Here is a 21,989-nt window from a genome sequence, read left to right as displayed (position 1 = left end):
TGTGATATAATTCTATTGAAGGGACTTACAAATCATAATACAGATTTGAGGGTTTATCCTGAAGGAATTGGAGTGTTATTGAAGGATTTTTCACTAGGGATTTTTATGATCACTTTTGATTTTTCAAAAGATTATCTCGTCAGCAGTGTGGAGAATAGCCTAGAAAAGATTGAGATGAGGTAAGGAGAGGCCTCAGGAGGGAGGCAACACTGTACTTTCTCTGTGGTAAGGACATCACAACTCAGACAGTGTCAGTGAAGGTGAAAATGAGAAAAAAGACCTGAGAGGTATTCATGAGGCAGGGGCTGCTGAACATGCTGGCCAATGAAAGACTGCTGGTAAGAGAGAGGGAGGAACCACAAGGAGGTCCGCATTCAATGTGGAAGAAAAATGATGAATCAGTGAGGGGCTTGCAGAGTAATGTTGCTTGTGCAATATACTAGTGGAGTCAACCCACCAGCCCTTCTGTGTACCAGTCGGCTACCTGGTCTAGTACATTTCTTGATCTGGAAACATCGATAGAAACAATGAAGTGGATGAGATACAGGGTTAAAAGTGAAGAGGATCATTTCTCCCTGTTCCTTACTGGGCCCTCAGGGACCTTAAGAAGAATTTGAGCAGGGATTTGTTTTCTTTCTTTGCAGACCCAGTCTTTGGGTTCCAGATACACACAGTGCGTCCACTTTGTTCCCCAGGGATGCAAAGCCTTCACATCTCTTGTCTAGTGTAGTCTCTTTCTTCACCCTCTTCTTTTTCCTCAGCTTTTCATCTCCCTAAACTCCTGCTTTTGTTGGGATGTACTTGGTAAGTTCCATAGCTTGTGATTAATGAAAAAATACAAGTTGGCATTTCACTAAAGATAAATTTTCAAAACTGGCAATTTGAGAGTGAAGTGACTCCTGAGAAGTAATTAGTTCATGATAGGAAAATTTCAAGATTGCTTATTGTGTACATTTAAAAGGAGCGATTTGTAAAATTATATTTTGTTTAATGTAAAATAATCTGATTACATTTTATCGATTATATTTTAGCATAATATTTAGAGTATGCCTTCAGAATTAAATGTTAAATCAATTCGGCAATTTATAATGCAGTTAAACACAAAATGTCCTAGAGTCCATGAAAATCTTTTTATGAAGTTGTGGTGACATTAGATGATTTTTAAAAACTACATTAGCTATGAATTATGTCAAAACTATATTAAGCAAATATATTTTTTGAGCATAATACATAATTTAATAGAATCAATCTTTGCCTGATATAACTCATTTTGATTTGTCACATGTTTATTAGATCTTAGGTTTAATAACATTTACTTTTTCTTATTGTAATGGAATTTTATATTTAAAATAGAATATTTGAAAAAAATTACAAAAGATATAAAGAAAAATGATAAAATTCACCCATTATTAAAACCTATACAAATATAAATTATGCTTTTTATATATGTTTCATATATCTAATTTCCCAAGGCTACTAAGTATTCATTAGGAACATAATTGTAAATAGTTTAAGAATTCATTTTATAAATGCACATACTTTTTTTTTTCACACTTTGAAAAATTTTAATACCTTTTGGGGTACAAGTGGTTTTTGGTTACACAGATGAATTGCATAGTGGTGGTGAAGTCTGAGATTTTAGTGCTCCCATTACCCCAGTAGTGTACGTTGTACCCATATGCAGTTTTTAATCTGTCGCCCTCCTCCCACCCTCCCTGCTTCTGAGTCTCCAATGTCCATCATACCACTCTGTATGCCTTTGTGTACTCATGGCTTAACTTCCACTTTTTTTTTTTTTATTATGCTTTAAGTTCTAGGGTACATGTGCACAACGTGCAAATTTGTTACATGTGTATACATGTGCCATGTTGGTATGCTGCACCTATTAACTCGTCATTTACATGAGGTATATCTCCTAATGCTTTCCCTCCCTCCCCCTTCCCCCCACCCTATGACAGGCCCCAGTGCGTGACGTTCCCCTTCCTGTGTCCAAGTGTTTTCATTGTTCAGTTCCCACCTATGAGTGAGAACATGCGGTGTTTGGTTTTTTGTCCTTGCGATAGTTTGCTGAGAATGATGGTTTCCACCTTCATCCATGTCCCTACAAAGGACATGAACTCATCCTTTTTTATGGCTGCATAGTATTCCATGGCATATATAAATGCACATACTTTTTATTTAACGTTGCCTGTGTATCTGTTGGGCATTTATATCTTTCACAAATTATTACTAATATAAACAAGATTTTGATGAGTAATCTTGAACATGTAGCTACTATGTATCTCTGTTGATTTCTTTTTCAGAATTATTCAATCAAAGGATTTGAAAATATATGTTGATGCATATTGTCAAATGGTCAAGGTTGTGCCAGCATCCAAAATACTCTTAAATATTTAATCCAGGCCAGATTAATGCCGTACTCATGATAATCGTTCTCCTAAATCATCGTAAGAAAAATGGGTTGTTTGCCATTTAAATAAAAAACAGTCAGGTATTAATATAGACCTCTATCTTAGGAAATGTTTTTTTTTTCCAACTTGGCATGGTTTTACCTGTCATTATCAATAAGGAAGTTTTTCACCCCCTTTATTTAGTATTTAAAGAAATTGTCAGCCAGGTGCAGTGGCTCACGCCTGTAATCCTAGAACTTTGGGATGCTGAGTCTGGTGGATCAACTGAGGTCAGGAGTTCAAGACCAGCCTGGGCAACATGGTGAAACTGCATCTACTAAAAATACAAAAATTAGCTGGGCGTGGTAGCATGTGCCTATAATCCCAGCTACTTGAGAGGCTGAGGCAAGAGAATCGCTTGAGTCTGGTAGGTGGAGGTTGCAGTGAGCCAACCATTGCGCCATTGCACTCCAGCCTGGGCGACAGCGCAAGACTCCGTCTCAAAAAAAAAAGAAAAAAAAAGGAAAGAAAGAAATTGTCAGTGTTCAGGTAGCAATTGTCAGATTCAGTGCGCCTTGACACCTGTTATCCCATCATTAGTTGAAACCATGTTGTTTTACCATCTAAATCATTTGTCCATCAAGTCACATTTGGCAAATGTATTTATGTCAAAATTCATTATATTGTTAATACAATTAATTATAGCATTAGTACCGCTAGTACTGATAGAGGTATTGATAATAAAATATTGCTAATGGTATTTTAATACTATAATACCACAAATGAAAATTTTATCTGGGCCACAGTCCTGCAAATAAAAAAATAGCATACAAAATTAACTATTTATTATTTACATTAGCATATAATATAAAAGAAACTTGGATTAATGTGTTTTTTTAAAGTATTCTCAGTTTAATGAGAAGATTGGCTCCCTTTTATTCATTTTTTAAAAAGGAAACTGAATTTTTCAAACATTAGACCCAACGGCATGATAGCAGTCCTGTTAGTGGAAATTCATCCAACAAGTCTTTCATCCACAAGTGCCTCTTTTTGGCACTCCGAAATACGAACACAAAATCATGGAAATAAGGGAGACTGAGCATGCTGCAGCACTTAGCTCATTCTGAGGCATGTGGTAAGAGTGTGGGCTCTGGTGGCAGACTGTCTGGTTGTGAAACCTGTCAAGTTTTTACCAGTTGTGTGGCCCAATGTCACTTAACCTCCTCCAATGTGCCTCAGTTTTCTCATCTGTAAAATTAACTTCGCAGTAGGTTTTTAAATCATGAAAAAACAGCAATTAATGGTTTTAGCACAACAGTTGGTGCATAGTAAATACTAGATAAATGTTATCTACTACTTAGATCAGAAATAGACTAAAATTACACAACATGTTTCTTTCCACAAGTTGCTTTTCTCCTGAAATGGCACACATTTCTGGACCTGTTGCAGGATTATAAAGAGACTAATGTAGAACTTGGCTTATGTAAAGTTGTGCTGGGTAATGCATGAATTGTGCATCATTGGTAGTGTATGTTTTTATGATCTTTGAGCCAACCACGATAAGCACACAGGGAAGACAAGTTGATTTTCTTTTCTCTTTTCAGGCCAAATTATTCTAGGTATGATTTTGTTTCACATGTATATTATAAAGAAATTATAATGAGTCATATTCAAGGAGAGATTTCTACTTTGGTCTCTCAAATCCCATTTTAGTATGCTTTGCAACTGCCAATGTGAATTTGATAGATAAAGAGGTAAATCTCTGTGTTGTCAACCCAAGTGGAATTACAGGTGGAGGCTTGAAAGCAGTCAGGACTTTGTTCCTGGTGCTAATTGAAAGCGTTCGAATACGTGCAAAATTGATCAAGAAGAAGATGTGTACAAATCTCTTAAAATTTCTTTGTTTTTTAAAGTATGTGTTTGAGAGACAGAGAGGAAGAAAATATTCTGCAAAGCAAGAATAAAAACAAATGTAACTACAACTTATGAGGTACACTGAACTTACTATACTTACAGAAGTATTTTTTCCATAGTTAACAACATAATAACATTTATTCTTTCTGAAAAAATACAGCTTAATTCTGGCTACCTATAGAATCTAGCCTTTAATTATTATTTAATTTTTAGTATCAGCATGCCTTAACCATTATATAGGCAGAATGAGACATGGTGCTTTTAAGCTGGGATTTCAATTAAAATTAATATTAAATGTAAAGACAGCTGTGAATTTTAATGAATTATTTCATTTGTATTTGGAAAACTTCTCCCAATCTCCTGCTACCGGGCTTCAAAGATTTTTTTATATACTTGAGCCTTAAAACGGTCATTTCAAAATATTAATTTATAGTCATTCTTTTTTTTTTAAATAGGGTGCTTTCACACTACCTCCAAGTCCAATTCCAAAATTCATAAATATATATGAAGCAGAGCTTATAAAAGTTACTATGGTATCAGCTCACAAAACTAAGAACATCTTCATGTATGAATTTCTTTCATTGATAGATGGTCTAGAATTGCGTGTTGTCAGGATCTGTAGTTGACAAAGTTGGACATTTGGAAGAGATCCTCTTCATTATTCCCACATCTTCATCCAGCCTTCATCTTCATCTTTCCTCTGAACAGGGCTGCTCTGATGAGTTTCCTACACAGAGGATGTTCTCTTGTCAACCCAGTCTCTTCACAACTTGTTCTCAGAAAAAGTTTTAAAAATTATATTCACTCTGTTCTTATTCTTACAAATGCCAAATGAGAATTAAATGTATTAGCTCCTTTAAAAGATATATCAAGAAAATACATCGCCACTGGAGGAATTTCAAGAATCTGTTCCAATAGTTGCAAATATGTTTGAGTGGGCAGGGTCATCACTAGTACTGTCTGAAGTCATGACAGCAACCTGAATTTCTGCTTTTTCTACATGTAGACTTAGGGATATACTTTTTACAATTTTTAAAACTTATTCACTAATAGGAAACAGACTCATTTACCATCTGCTTGAAATGTGGTGATTATAATTTATCCATGAAAATATTGAATGTTTCCTTATCAACTTGGGAGTCATCAGGGAGGACCCAGAAGTAAAGGTTAACAGAGAGGGAAAACAGATTGTCTAGATTAATTTTGCATATACTATGCAGTATGAAAAACCTCAACTTACAGTATTTAATTTTTTACTCAATGTAAAAGGAAACCCTCAAAAATAAAAAAAGCTAAAATTTTACATCCACAGATAATTAATGATTTTGTTGTATTGCTCACTTTTTGTGTATACTGTTTAATAAAGTTGAGATCATATTTGATTTTGTACATTGCTTTCCAAACATGCAATTATCCATATTAACAAAACATTTAAGAATTATAGTGTTTATGTATAATACTTTAACATTTAGTTGTAACATAATTTACTTAGCCATTGTAACATTATCTATTTCAGTTACTTCTAATAAGATAAACATATTTCTCAATAAACATTTATTTTTACTTCTAACATTTTTGACAGTGACTACATCAATCATCTGGGACTTATTTTGTGTGTGGGATATAAAATAAAGTGCTAAAGTAATTTTTTAAAAAAATAGTTGATTGTATCAGTGTTCATTATTAAGTAAGTTTTTGTCCCCACTGATTTATGAGAATTCTTTATCATACACAAAATGCATCAATCTTTTTGACATCGTTTCTAGATATTTTGTTCTTTTGGTGAGTTTGACTATTTTACGTAAGAGTTTTTTTAATTGTAGTTTTATATACTTTATAGCTCAAAGAACCAGCCTCTCCACATAATTCTTTATAAATTTTTAATACCTATTTTTCCTTCTTTTTCAGATATTTTTTATTTTTAATCATGAGTACATAATAATTATACATATTTATGGGGTGGTACATGCTGTATTTTGATACAAGCTTATAATGTGTAATGATCAAATCGGAGTAATTAGGGTATCTATCACTTCAAGGCTTAATCATTTCTTTGTGTTAGGAGCATTCCAATTCTACTCTTTTAGCTATTTTGAAATATATAATAAATTGATGTTAACTGTAGTCACCCTATTGTACTACCAACATCAGATATTATTTCTAACTCTATTTTCTACCCATTAATCATCCCTTCTTCATATCCACCTCCTCACTGTGCTTCCTAGCCTCGTGTAACCATAATTCTACTCTCTATCTCTGATATTTTTCTTTTCCAAGTTCCAAGTATGTACGATTTTTATTATAGTTGACTTGAATCTATAAATTAATTTCAAAACATGAAAATTTTTATATTACTGTGACTTCTCATCTATGGTTATCCATTTAGCTTTTCTTTTAATATAAAGCAAAATATTTTTACACACGTTCTATGTATGAAACATCTATAAAATATATATAAGTATTATAAGTCAAAAATAAAATGATTTATTATTGAGAGTAGTGTTTTTTCTATTGCATATTTTAACAAATCATTCCCCGTATGAAAAATTTTTATTGTTGAGGATTTTACATATGTGTGTGCGTGTGTGTGTGTGTGTGTATAGTATAGGAAATGTATAAGATAAATGGAGGAAAATTTCTTAGGAAATTACTACCTTAAAACAATCAGTATCATTTCATCTAATATCTTTGGTCTTTTTCATATATAAACAGAAACTGCAATTTCTTGTTCCCGTTTAATGGTAAAATATATACATTAATAATTTTGACAGTCATTTTGTTAAAATATTTATTTTTTACTCATTTACAATCATCAAATATTTAATAGGAATATTATTCTAGGTATTATATGGTATCAAAAAATAACTTCTTTTTCTTAAGCTTTGAATCTAGTTGATAGAAGCAATTATGCAATGCAAAGAATAGATTAGTGATAATTAGCATAGGTGTTAGGAAGCAATAAATGAAACAAAAAATTAATATTTTAACCAAATTATGGCTGGCTCAAATATCTATATACTCAACCTATTGTAGCTCTAAATTCCTGTGATTATATGACAGATACAGTACCATAGGAAAAATAGCAATCTAAGTTAACTTCAATATTTGTTTAAAATAGTTTAATGTATACAGTTGGATCTATTTCACAAAAATTTTGGATAATTTGTGAGATTTAAGACATCATCAGGTCTAAATTTTTCAGATATTTTTTCCTCATTTTCAAGTATTTAAATATAGTCTGGGTATTTTCCATTTTCATTCAGATTATGTGGCACCATGGTGATATGATGCTGAAGGTATTTGGAGTCTAACCTTGTGTAGACTATCTAAAATGATTCATTCATTAAGTTCATCTTTACATTGTTAAATTTCTGTATGGAATACATGTACATTAATTTTATTCCCACTAATTATAAAATCTGTATTTGGCAATTAGAGTAATATGAAAACATTGATATGTTGTGAGGTCCTGGTCTTGTAGTACAAAGTTTATTTGTATGTTTGTATGTGTGTATGTTGTTTTAGTTCAAACAAAAGAACACAAAATTACAAAATGTTGGAAATACATTAATTATTTTTCTACTTTGTCAGATTATCACTTTAAATCCTGAAAGCAGAAATCAATATAATACAGTAGTCCACCCCTTATCAGTGGTTTTACTTTCTACATTTCAGTTACCCATAAACCGTGGTTCAAAAATAGGTGAATACAATACAATATTTTGAGAGACAGACCATATTTACATAACTTTTATTACAGTATATTATTATAATTATTTTTATTTTATTATTAGTTATTGTTGCTAATCTCTTACCATGCCTAATTTATAAATTAAACTTTTTCATAGGTATGTATATATGGGGAAAAAGATAGTACATATAGGATTCAGCACTATCCATGGTTTCAGGCATCCACTGGGAGTCTTGAAAGTACCCCCCACAGATAAGGGGGAACCATTGTAATTCAGTATTTTAAATTAGGATATATTTCTAAAGATATCCAGGAAACATTAAAAATATGTTCACTAATATTTGATAATATTTATCTTTATTAAAGGTAAAACTGGCATAAAAGTAAGAATTCTGAATTGAGTAAGAAGCTAGAGTTCACAACATTGGGGAGAGCATTCAAATGACATACGGAAATGGACTTTAAAATGAGCTTTTATGATGGGCAGATTTGAGTTCACCTGAATATTAACATATTTTGAGGGCAAATAAACATTGCTTTGCTTATTAAGTATAAAAAAATCCTCTCTTAAATGCAAATTGAAACCACAATGACATACCATCTCACGACAGAATGGCGATTATTAAAAATTCAAAAAACAACAGGTGCTGGTGAGGTTATGGAGAAAGAGGAATGCTTTTACACTGTTAGTGGGAATGTAAAGTAGCTCAACCATTGTGGAAGACAGTGTGGTGATTCCTCAGATATCTAGAACCAGAAATTCCATTTGACCCAGCAATCCCATTACTGGATATATACCCAAAGGAATAGAAATCCTTCTGTTACAAAGATGCATGCATGCGTATGTTCATTGCAGCACTATTCACAGTAGCAAAGACAAGGAATCAACTCAAATGCCCATCAATGATAGACTGGATTAAGAAAATGTGTTACATATACACCATGGAATACTATGCAGCCATGAAAAGGAATGAGATCATGTCTTTTGCAGGGACATGATGGAGCTGGAAACCATTATCCTTAGCAAACTAACTCAGTAACAGAAAATCAAACACCACATGTTCTCACTTATAAGTGGGAGCTGAAAAATGAGAACACATGGACACAGGGAGGGGAACAACAACATTGGGGTCTGTGGGGGGGTGAGTTAGGAGGAGGGAGAGCATTAGGAAAAATAGCTAATGCATGCTAGGCTTAATACTTAAGTAATGGGTTGATAGGTGCAGCAAACCACAATGGCACATGTTTACCTATGTAACAAACCTGCACATTCTGTACATGTACCCCAGAACTTAAAATAAATATTGAAATAAAAAAATCCTCTCTTCATTATGTAATTTTATTTAATCTGGGTGTGTGCTGAACAAGATATTATATTCCTGCTGAGAAACAGTCACAGCCACCAACAAAAAATGTGTATGAACATAGATTTTAGAGTTAATTTCCCAGGATGAGGCCTCCAGAAACCAGTTAGCTATTTTATATTCAAACAAAATATTTAGAAAAATTTAAAAACTGGAAATCGGAAGGAAGTGCTGAAAGAAGAGTTTTTCTTTTCTTCTTCTTCTTCTTCCTTCTCCTCCCCCTCAATGGTTCCAGCAGAGTTATTTCTACCCCTTGAATAACAGGAAGGCAAAATGAAAGCTGGTTATTCATCACTACTTCTATTTTTATTTCAGTTGACCCGGTTTAGAAATAAGAATAAAAATAATTTCTGGCTTATTTTTATAGGCCATACTGTAGTTTTTATGTTGGTTTTAAGTGAACACTGGTTGAGTGGTTAACAATTGTGTTGAATATATTGCTGTTGCATGTATTGGTATTCATGTGATGTTACCACATTGAAATACAGAAATCAATTTTTTAATGTAGTCCTAATTTTAATTCCATCCCTCCATATATATGGCTCTGATAGCAAAATTATGTCAAATGGTAGTGCAAAATAATGATGTTTGGAATGTTATTTATTATAAATTTGTATATTAACCTTGTCTCTGCTATCTTGCTTGGATTTAAAGACTTCTGATGAGAATCTTTCAGTAACTTGCTTTCTCTAAGCATTGCCTATGTATAGTTTTAACAATGTTTAAGATAGTTGTATTCATAAGCTTATATCTTTGATTTGCTGGTATTATTTTATAAATGCCAAGTTCTGCAAAAATAGGTTTATATTAATAATTAATGCTAGTGGCCAGGTGGGTTGGATCATGCCTGTTATCCCAGCACTTTGGGAGGCCGAGGCAGGCGGATTGCCAGAGCTCAGGAATTCGCGACCGACAAGCCTGGGCAACGTGGTGAAACCCCGTCTCTACTAAAATACGAAAAATTAGCCGGGCATAGCGGCGTGCACCTGTAGTCCCAGCTACTCGGGAGGCTGAGGCAGGAGAATTGCTTGAACCCGGGAGGTGGAGGTTGCAGTGAGCTGAGATCACGCCACTGCACTCCAACCTGGACAACAGAGTGAAACTCCGTCTCAATAATAATAATAATAGTAATAATAATAATGCTAGCAACATATTGAGTATAGTTTGAACCATAATTATTTGGTCACATAGGGTCATTTTACACAAACTGTGGAAAAGTATACTTCCATGTGTCATAAAATATAGTTCTTTTTAGGGTGCATCTTCACAATTTCTGTTCAAAAAATAGGGCAGCAAAGGTTGACTTAGGCTATTTTGGGACTATAAATAAGAGCTGGTGCAGAGCTACCAGACTATTGTAAATTCTACTTGAAAATAACTCCTTGAGAGTGAGGCTTGAGTGCTTTTGGTATCTAGCAAATCTCTTTGCTAAATGCCTTCATTTTGATGTTTTAATAATATATGTTTGTTGATTATAGGATGACAGTGATAGGTACAATTTCCATTTATCTGTTTATATTTGAGAATTTAATGATTTATTTCTCTTTATAGCCATTATTAGGAGGTATCTGAGGGACTCAAGAGCACAGAAGGCAGGGCAGAATATTTTCCTGTACTCTGAGTGCTGGAAATGGCTCTGCATAGACTGCTTTAAAATGCAATTACCGACCTTGAATTGACCTCTAACCGCCTTTTTCTGTCCTACCCTTCTCCATCAATCAATTGTTGAGAGGATTTGGGTATTTCCCATTAAGCGTCTGCATTTTTAGACTTACCTGTTCTAACTTGAACATTTATTGTGATGAATCTCATGACTTTCTGCTTGTTACTTCCTTGAAATAAGTCTTCTTTTTATATATTCACTTTGCTGACTTTTATAGAAAACAATAATCCATTTGTGGAAATGATTAATTCAGGTGTGATTAGATTCCATGAGAGCTGGAAACTACTCAAGTCAGAACACAACAGGGAGAACGCCTCCTGGCACTAACAAATATCTGTGCTTCTCATTTGACTGAACCTTATCTAGACCTGATTGCCTTTATTACTAAAATAATGCATGTATTCCTTAAGCATTTTTATTTGTGGTTAGAGTTATTCATTGTTTTCATTTTTTAAACTTGGCATGAAGTCTGGCAGAAGCTGGTTCTGGCTTCCACACTTATTTTTTTGATGATGAAACCACTTAAAAAGTCTAACAGTAATAACAACAGCAACAACTACTACAACAGAAAGCAGTCAGGACGAGACCAGGGAAGGAGTGGTAGATGAGAAAGGTTATGAAGCATTCATGAGTTTATGATGACCCCTTTGCAATTGAATCCTATTGTTAATGACTAAGAACGAGCCCTTTGCCTTCTTCTCTGGACCTGTTTGTCACACAAGCTGGAAAAGAGAAGAGGTAACAATAGAGCAGTACAGACCAAAGAAGCGGAAACAATTATTAAAAGGTAGCAGGACTCTTTCATGAGGTAGCAAATACCACTTCTTTGCTATACTCTATATGTTAGCTTCTATGAAAAGGGCTTCCTATATGTAGACTATAGTCATATTTTAGTCAAAAAGAAAGAATTTTAGGTGTTTCTGAAACTCTTAGCAGTTTTACATACAGATGCTATATGCAAAATATATATATATATCAATGCATTTTTAATTTTAAAATTATTATACTTTTAATTGTTTAAAGCAGGCTATTATGCTCTAAATGTAAGAGCAATGCTCAAAAAATGTCGAGAGTAACCATGTTAGATTTATAGTGTTTACTATTCCACATGTATACCTTATTATATCTAGAATAAATAGAGGTTTAAGAGCTGATTATTGGATAGCTCCTTAAAGGTAGGAAGGTCACATGTTCCTCAGAAAATTGTCATTCATTGCTAAACATAGGATTAGAAAGATTAGAGAGATTTGTTTGTTTATTTGCTTTTTTGTTTGGTTTTGGCCAAAGGAAAATATGTAACTAACATGCACATTGTGCACATGTACCCTAAAACTTAAAGTATAATAAAAAAAAACTGCAAAAAAAAAAAAAAAGGAAAATAACATTAAACAGAAAACAAATGTTTTGCATGAGGTTTTAAGAAGTGAAATTTCTCTGCCAGGTGCGGTGGCTCAGGCCTGTAATCCCGGCACTTTGGGAGGCTGAGCCAGGCGGATCACCTGAGGTCAGGAGTTCAAGACCAGCCTGGCCAACATGGTGAAACTCTGTCTCTACTAAAAATACAAAAATTAGCTGGGTGTGGTGGCAGGCACCTGTAATCCCAGCTACTTGGGAGGCTGAGGCAGGAGAATTGCTTGAACCTGGGAGCTGGAGGTTGCAGAGATCTTGCCACTGCACTCCGCCCTGGGCACCAGAGCAAAAGTCCATCTCAAAAAAAAAAAGAAGTGAATGGCTCCACCATTTACCCTTTGAAAGATTCTTTTGTTGAAAAACTGCATAGAAAGAATAAATTATGAGAATATAATGATTTATAAACATTTCAATATGAACTGTTATAGGAGACTTGCGAAAGGTATGAGTTTTTTTTTTTTTTTAAATCCAAGAAACTGGTGTGTAGGAATGGTCTGCAGAGGCATGCTGAGATAATACAGTGTTAGTCATTAAATACAAAGCATTACTAGCCATCAATTTTTAATTCATTCTCAATATTTATAGTAAAATTATGGTTTATTATATTTAAAATGGTCTGCAAGTGAAAAAAAGTTTTCCTGTGTAAAATTCTTTAACACTCTTTGCTTACACACATTATTGTCTTTCATTTCTACCTCCTATTTCCTGGTAAACTATAAAAGATATATCAAAGAAAATCCCTTAGACATATTACATGTGTTTAGAAGACTTAAATTAAGTAGGCTTTATGTGCTAATATTTATAATTATTTAAAATGTCATAATCATATTAAATCAAGGTATTTATATGTGTGTGTATGTGTGTATATACATATGAGTAATTTCCCGAAATTTTAACTTGTCATTACACAGAGAACATCACTGTGACTTACTGTTTTGATGTGTAGGGTTTAAAAATGCATTAAAAGTCTAGGGACTATTTCAAAGTAATATTCTACTTTGATCCTATCAGTCCTTAGTGTCATTTAATTTAGTTTGGACAGAAACAACACTTGTCATGTTTTAGAACTCATGGATTTTTGCTGTTTACTATCTTTACTGCAGTCATTTTGTATATTAAAAATGTTTAGAATTCAGTTTAGAATTCAGGTTTCTTTGGGGTGAAAGTGCGAAACAAAAGACCAACTCATCTAAGTGACACCTGTTATAATTGAGCAAGGCCTAATCTCACTGAGGTCCTCAGAAATGGACCAACTATACTCTTGCCTGACTGACTCCTCATCCAAATCTATCAAGTTAAAAGTTGTCATAGATAAAAAAGAAAATAGTCCTTAGAAACTCTGTCTTCTATTCCATAAAATGTCTCGATACTACTTAGCACTTATACTTGGTGATATCTCTCAATTTTTACGTGTCTTTTTAGGTTTGATAGTAACAAATGAACCTCTTTTTCAAACCGGTACATTTTGTTAAGTACAGTAGGATTTCAGCAAGGGTCTCTAAGGGACTCAAAATACTAACGTGGTGACATGATCAAGGAGTAGTTTCAGATGTACTTTATTCAACTGTTTATTGGATTGATTTTATCCTTCAGCTAGAGACCACTAAGATTTGTGTTTTTGCTTACATTTCTTTAGGTGATATTTTGTGATTACCACCTTATTAAAGTAACTCAGTAGATATTTGGTTATTGTTCAGGCTATAAAACCTAAAGAAATTTTTCTTTCATTAGTGGTATGTTTCTCCTTTCTTCCTGTGAATACACAAATGGCAAAGGCCAGAGTGTGAAGTATGTGCTTCATGCAGTATTTGGATCAAGAATATTCTCTTTTTCCAAGCAGATGGATTTTAATGTTTGTTTGTTTTTGAAGTATCACCTTTTGTTAGTTATTTTATGATTTTCAAATATCTAGTGACAATTCATCTAATTTTCCCACATTGGCCTATACCACTGAACGTGTAAAATAAAAAGAAATTCATCAATCATTGTTCCATTAAGTTTCTCCATGAGAAAAGTTCCTTTAAAAGATTTTAATGGCTGGTGTGGATCAGATCAGTAGACACTGTTCTTTGACACTCATTCTACGTCTCATAGGTGTCCATGCAGCCTATCTGGGCATTTTATCTGGATATACTTTTACATAATTGGGCCTCACTAGATTTTTATCAAAGGTAATTTATATCATAATGTTCCTCAGACAGGTCAACGAAATTCCTTAGTACAAATAATTCTAGGATGTACTAACTTTTGTGTGTCTAGAGGATCAGTTTTTACCTATGAAACAAATGTAGTTATCCGGATGTCTATTAGGAGTCTCTTTGTCTCTCTCTGTTTCTGTCTCTCCCTCTCTCTCACTCTTTCCTGGCCTGAATGAACCTTGTAATAAAAAATAGTAAATGTATTTCACACATTAGATACTAGAAATTTTACAAGGATATAATGAGAAAATTATTTTAATAATGAGTTGTCTTGAAATTCCTTATGGTTTCCTTGCAATTATAAAGTGTTAGCCTAGACATATACTAGAAAGATAAGGTTCTTTTCCACAATTATATGTGTTTAATTTGTATTTAATAGTATGCTGAATTAATTTTCTATATTTAGTACCCCCCAAATGGTATTGAGATTTAATTGTAGAAGTTTTAGAAACAAATATCTAAATGGGACTTGTTTTAATTGCTCTGAAGTTCTTTTTACCTGGAATCTCCACATATAGTTTGATTGCATGATCATGATTTCAATAAAAAATTTTTATTATTAAAATTAAATATTGTAATAAAATATTTACTAAAAATTAAAAAAATTTATGTTAAAATAGTTTTTAATAGCTTTAGTTTTATTAAAAATTAAAAATAAAACTGAATTTCAGCTTCAAAATTATAATATCACAGCATCTGTAGTTGCATTACAGTAATACTAGGTACTTCCTAAGCAATTTAGAATTAATATGTTTCACTAAATTCTTACAACAAAGTAACAAGATAAATAGAGGGCAGCAGCTTTGTTTGCATTACAAATGTTCTTTCTTGGTAATTGAAGCTGCAAAAAGCTAAATATCAAGCATAATGTATGTTTCTCCTCCAATGCAGGATTTTGTTCTATTCATATTGCCATTTATCTTTGTTTACATTTCTATCTTCTCTACAAGGCAGTAGGCTCTTAAAGGCAGAAAATATTATCTCTCTTTTCTTAACATCTAGCACAGTATTTGGTACATTGAATGTACTCAATAAGGTTTTCTGAGAATGATTCATAAGCTAGGAAAATATTTGCTCCACATTATATTATGATGGCTGTTAGTTTAACCATAATTTTAATGGGCTGTAATTTTAACTAATTTATGAGATATTCAAAAGTTTGGGTAAACTGACATCTCTAATTTTTTAATATTGTATATTATCTTATATACTATAGGTGAGAATGGCATTATTCCTGCCTTCTTGTAATATTTCCAGCTATCACTAGATGGCAGGGAGGCTGTCCGCAGGGACATAAAATTGGAACCTTAACAATTGTCCAAGTGAGTAGCAATAAAGATCAGAAATAGCATGGTGGAGATGAAATTTTGAAGGTAATAGACTAGTAAAACAGACAGAGGGAAGGGAGAGGGAGACAGAGAGAGACAGAGAGACAGAAAGAGAAACCATTTTGCAACTGATTTGATGTTGAAGGTAAAAGGAAGGAAGGAGTCAAGCAATTATGGATTCCCAAGTCTGGATAATGGAAAATTATAATGTCCTGATCAGGGAAAGCAGAGAATGGCTACATAGATAAGAGCTGATTCATTAGTTTGAATAAGTTTGACTGTGAGGCATCAGCAAGTGGAAACATGTATAGATACAGAGGAATACTGGAAGCTTTGGCATTCAGGAGATATAAGATCTGGATATCATATCTGAGACTTATAAAATGCTGTAGCTGAACGAAACTGGTACAAATCTTAATTTGGTAGCTGAATAAGGTGACTCCCAGAAAAATGAGGTAATATGGCCAAGGTCTCAGAGATAATGGCAAAGTCAAGACTGGAATCATTATCTCTTTTCTCAATTCATTTTTCCCCAATTTCTTACATACAATTGAAGACATAGGAATGTAAATACAAAACTTTTGGTGACGAGTGTGGTAAAAGAAGGGGCCATAGGACTAATTCATCCTATTTTAGATGCAAAAGGAAGAAAAATAACATGAGAAATTTTGGATAATATTATTTTTTAAATAAAAAAGGACTTTTTTATTCTAATTTTGTTAGGTTTTGGCAGTTGTATAAAGTGTTATCTTTAAGTAGTCAAGTTTTTATTCTAAAATATGTGTTCTTCATAAAATACTTAAGTGGTTTTCATGTTGAAATTCTCATACATGCATACATCTCACACATTTTCTCATACATTTTTCTTATGAAGCATTGTTGCTAGAAATAACAACAGAATCACAACAACAAAATCATTATCATGTAACTATTATAAGAATCTAGGGAGCAATGATAAATAATTGTTTTTTAGAAAATGTTTCTTCAATTTACATTAAGCTATTATTTTAACAAACAAAATATAAATTAAACTTAAAATAAGAAATTTGAATAACATAACCTGTTTGAATCACATATTCAGCAGAGAATAAGTGAATTATCTTCCATGTAAAAAATATTCAATGTTTTATAGCTCTCCTCCTACATTTCAGATAGATCTTAAGCAGAATTGTACTCTAAAGTCAGATATATGTAATTATTGATGAGGTTCTTTGAAGAGTATTTTCTTTAATCATTCATCTTCCAACAACATGACCAAATAAAGATCAGTATATTGTTTGTGTATTTATTTGAAAGTTCATTCAAAAGGAGAAAAAATATATATCCTTCTAACTTTTGTTCTTCCCCACTCTCACCCACGGAAAGCTTCTTTTCATTAGTAGTAATGGAAAGATTCATGATGTATTATTAGTGACAGCATTTGATTATTGTCTAATTAAAAAGCACTGTGCTCCCATCTGCCTGACTGGAGAGGGAATGACAGAGAAAGAGAGGGTGAGGGAGAAGAACAGAGATATTGAGATTAAAATAATGAATAGGTGTTGTGAAATGTGGCAATGTTTTATTACTTGAAGAGTGAGCCACTTAGAAGCAGTTACCAAATCTCTTTCCAAACTGATAGATGATTTCAAGTGCAATGAATACATTCATTTTAATGTTTAAAAGGTCTCTCAATCTAACAACCATTATATGGAAAGAAAATAGTACCGCATATAAGAAGATATAACTATTGTCACATTTAAGAAATACTTTAAAACAGTTTTAGTAGTTTCATGAAATATCTAGAAAACACATATTCATAGAGGCAGAAAGTAGATTAGAGGTGACAAAGGGCTGGGAGAAGAGAGGAATAGGGAGTTACTGCCTAAAGGTCACAAAGTCTGTGTTTAGGGTGATGGAAAAGATTTGAAAACAGATAGTGGTGAGGGCTGCACAACAGTGTGAATATAATTAACACCATTGAATTATACACTTAAACTGGTTAAAATGGCATATTTCATGTTACATGTATTTTATCACAATAAAAACTTTTCAAATCCAAAAAAAAAAATAGAAAAAGAAAATTAAATTAAAACATAAATATCAGCAATAATGATACTTACATTTGTCCACTGGAGTCATTTAAGAGATGAGTAGAATGGTGATAAATAATATTAGACTTTATTAAAGAAGTTGAGTTTGAGCAATTAATAAGGAAGTAGACAGAAAGCTGGAGCTCCATGTTGAAATGGCTGAGTCCACAACAACTCCAAAATCCTGTTTTCTGGTCTCATTCCATCATCATTTATTTGGATCAGTTTCTGTTGTCACTGTTTAGTGTGTGTTTTAGTTGTCCATTTCTGTGTAACAAATTACTGTGTAAAAATACCACAAAATGCTGGGTGCAGTGGCTCACGCCTGTAATCCCAGCACTCTGGGAGGCCGAGGCGGGCGGATCACAAGGTCAGGAGATGGAGACTATCCTGGCTAACATGGTGAAACCCCGTCTCTACTAAAAATACAAAAAAATTAGCCGGACACGGTGGCAGCACCTGTAGTCGCAGCTACTCGGGAGGCTGAGGCAGGAGAATGGCGTGAACCCGGGAGGCAGAGCTTGCACTGAGCTGAGATCACGCCACTGCACTCTAGCCTGGGTGACAGAGCGAGACTTGGTCTCCAAAAAAAAAAAAAAAACCACAAAACGTAGAAGAGCAAGCATTTATTACTTTCCCCAGTTATTGAGAATCAAGAATGTCGGAAGAAGGTTGTTCTTGCTCTAGGTCCCTCGTGAGGTTGCAGTCAAGCTGTTGGTCTTGGCTGTAGTCTCTGAAAATTACTTGGAGCTAGAGGTTCTACTTCCAGACTCACTGACATTACTGTTGGCACAAGGCTTCATTCCTCACCACATGGGATTCTCTGTAGAGTTTTTTCCAATATGGCTTTTCCCAGAGAGAGAAATTGAAGTGAGAGAGCACGTGCATGAGAGAGTGTGAGCCCAAGATGGAAGCCACAGTCTTTCTATAACCTAATCTCAGAAGTGATATCCCATCATATCTTCTATAACCAATTCTTAGAAGTGAGTCATTAAGTTCAGTCCACACTCAAGAAGGCAATCAAGCTTCACCTCTTGAGGGAAGAAGTATCAAAGAATTGGTCAGCATATCTTTAAAACCACCACAGGGCTCGAAGGTGTACTTTTCCCTCCTCCCTCATGGGTTCTTTTCACTTCCATTATTGTTTTATATCATCAGTCTTTGTGTGTGTGTGTGTGTGTGTGTGTGTGGGCGGGGGGGTGGGGTGGGGGAGGTGGAGAATCTTTAGAGTATGTTGTGAAGAGCCAAGAATATAAAGAGTGACATTTATGATCATGTGTATTTATATATTGAGATATTTATTAAAAACTTACTATGTCCTAGGCACTGAACTAAGCACTTTACATTCATTATCTTTCTCTGCACAACAATCCTGTAAAATAAATGTTAATATTCCTGTTTTAGAATACGTGTGTATATGTAAAAGTACATGTATAACTTGACTTTAAAACTTAAAATTTATGTGAAATTTCAAAGGTAATTCTTTTTAAAACTTTAAGTTTTAAAGCACTTGTCAATACAGACTGAATATATTCAAGGTATACAACATGATGATTTGATATTTGTATACATTACGTAATTATTACCACAATCAAATTACAGTTGACTCTAGAACAACACAGGTTTGAACCCATGGGTTCACTTATGAGTGGATTTTTTTCAACCAAATGAATCAATGATACAGTATTCACAGGATGCAAAACCTGCATATTATACGCCAGTTCTGCAGGCCCAACTGTGGGACTTGAGTCAAAGTGGATTTTTTTTGTATGGGAGTGAAGGATGCAGGAACCCATCTGCCATGTATATTCAGAGACAACTGTCATTAACATATGTATTACCACCCATAATATGCATTAGTTCTCCAGAACTTGTTTCTCTTACGATTGAAATTTTGTGCCATTTGATCAAAATCTCCCCATTTCCCACACCCCCTAACCCGTGGTAACCACCATTCTACTCTCTGCTTCTATGAGTTTAATTTTTAAATTCCACATATAAGTGAGATCATATAATACTTGTCTTTCTTTGCACTGAATAATGTTTCACTGTGTATGTGTGTGTATTATGTATATAGTCACAATTTCTTTATCCAGTCATCCATCAGTAAATACTTTGGTTGTTTCCATGTCTTGGCTATTGTGAATAATGCTGCAATGAACATGGGAGTATAGAGATCTCTTCAAAATACAGGTTTCATTTCCTTTGAATATATACCCAGAAGTGGAATTGCTGTATTATGTGGTAGTTCTATTTTTAATTTTTTGAGGAAGCTCCATACTGTTTTCCATAATAGCTGTACTAATTTACATTCCTACAGTGTACAAGGGCTCTGTTTTCTTTATGCCCTTACCAAAACATATGTCTTGTCTTCTTATAACAGCTATTCTAACAGGTATGAAATGATATCTTATTCGTAATTTTGATTTGCATTTTCCTGATGATTAGTGATATTGAGAACCTTTTCACATACCTGTTGGTCATTCGTATGTCTTCTTTGGAAGAATATCTACTCAGGTCCTTTGCTGAGTAGATTTTTTAATTGGATTATCTGGGGGGTTTTTTGTTTGTTTTGTTTTTGTTATTTTGTTGTGTGAGTTCCGTATATATTTTGGATATTAATCCCTTATAAAATATGTGGTTTGCAAATAAGCTTGTAATTATTAAAGAATAAACATTTTATTAAAAATAAGTGCTTTTCTCTGCTTACCTTTTACTATGATCTAACTATGATACTTTCAATATGCTGCAGACTCTCATTCTTATCTTTCTTTTGTTGTTACCTTGTTACCTAGAACTCTTATGTTTCAGCCTAATTTCTTCATCTGCAAAGACCTAATAGGAAGAAATTTTTACTTTGGTTTAGTGTGTATAAAATCTGGGAACAGCTAAATTTCAGTTTTAATATAAAATTTTGACTTTTATATATTACCCAATATTGTTAAAAGGAGAATTCTTATGTATACCTATCTCTTAAAAATATTGCTTCTTATTATATTACCCGCTTAAAACAACAACAGCAACAACAAAAACTTAGAAGGTAAACAAAACCTTGGTTTCAGATATGCACAGAAAGTATGTAAGCTGTACCCCAGAAGCATTCCTTATAAATTTTGCATGTCAGTTTCTCTGACCTTTCTTTACACAGGAGGGATTTGTTGTATCAATCTTTAATCTAAGTGTGATACACCAACTTCCTATTGAATTGCCTTAGAGCAGAAGAAAAGGTATAAAGATGATGCATCTTACTTAGAAATGAAAATATAACAAAACAAGTCATGTTAAACAAGGAAAGATATGGATCTTTAATCACGAACCCAAACCAAGTTGGTGGCTGAACAGAGAAGAACTGTGGGAGCCAGGCCAGTTGGCATGACAGTATGTGTTCAGCTGGTGTGGAGTAAGCCCCTGGACTGAGGGTGTTCAGTGTGGCTTCAGCCAGGGGATTCAGTGGTGAAGAACCCTCTTGCTACTGTACTCTTTGTCTTTATTACAATACTAGTCAAGAAAAAATTCTTTCTAAAAAGGAAAAAAAAGTAAAGTCCCTGCTTTGAAACTTATTTTGAGGAGTCTCTCAAGCAATCAACTGAATTAATATGGATGAATAAATATTTCAGAGAAAGTCTCTGAAATATGGATAAAATTAATAGTGGGAAGACAAAGGAGGAAGCTCCTAACTAGGAAATCCAGTCTCTGTACTACCCCTTTTCATGTGTAATCTCATTAATCCTTACAGCATCTCAATGATGTGATTGTTAATACAGATTGAGTATCCCTTATCTGAAATGCTTGGGACCAGAAGTCTTTCAGATTTCAGATTTTTAAAATTTTGGAATATCTGCATATACATAATGAGATATCTTGGGGATGGGACCCAAGTCTAAATATGGAATTAATTTGTTTCATATATACCTTATACAGATAGCATGAAGATAATTTTATATGATATTTTTAATAAT

General features: G+C 33.5%; 1 protein-coding gene across 7 annotated transcripts in view; it reads left to right on the top strand.

Annotated features, from left to right (window-relative positions):
• PCLO (piccolo presynaptic cytomatrix protein) overlaps positions 1 to 21,989 on the top strand; it is a 408,873-nt gene that overhangs the window by 73,865 nt on the left and 313,019 nt on the right. The window lies entirely within an intron of this gene.

This window comes from Homo sapiens, chromosome 7 (genome assembly GCF_000001405.40).
Source record: "Homo sapiens chromosome 7, GRCh38.p14 Primary Assembly".
NCBI classification, from domain to species: domain Eukaryota; kingdom Metazoa; phylum Chordata; class Mammalia; order Primates; family Hominidae; genus Homo; species Homo sapiens.
Note: the sequence above shows the minus strand (reverse complement) of the source record. Positions and strands in the feature narration are given on the sequence as shown.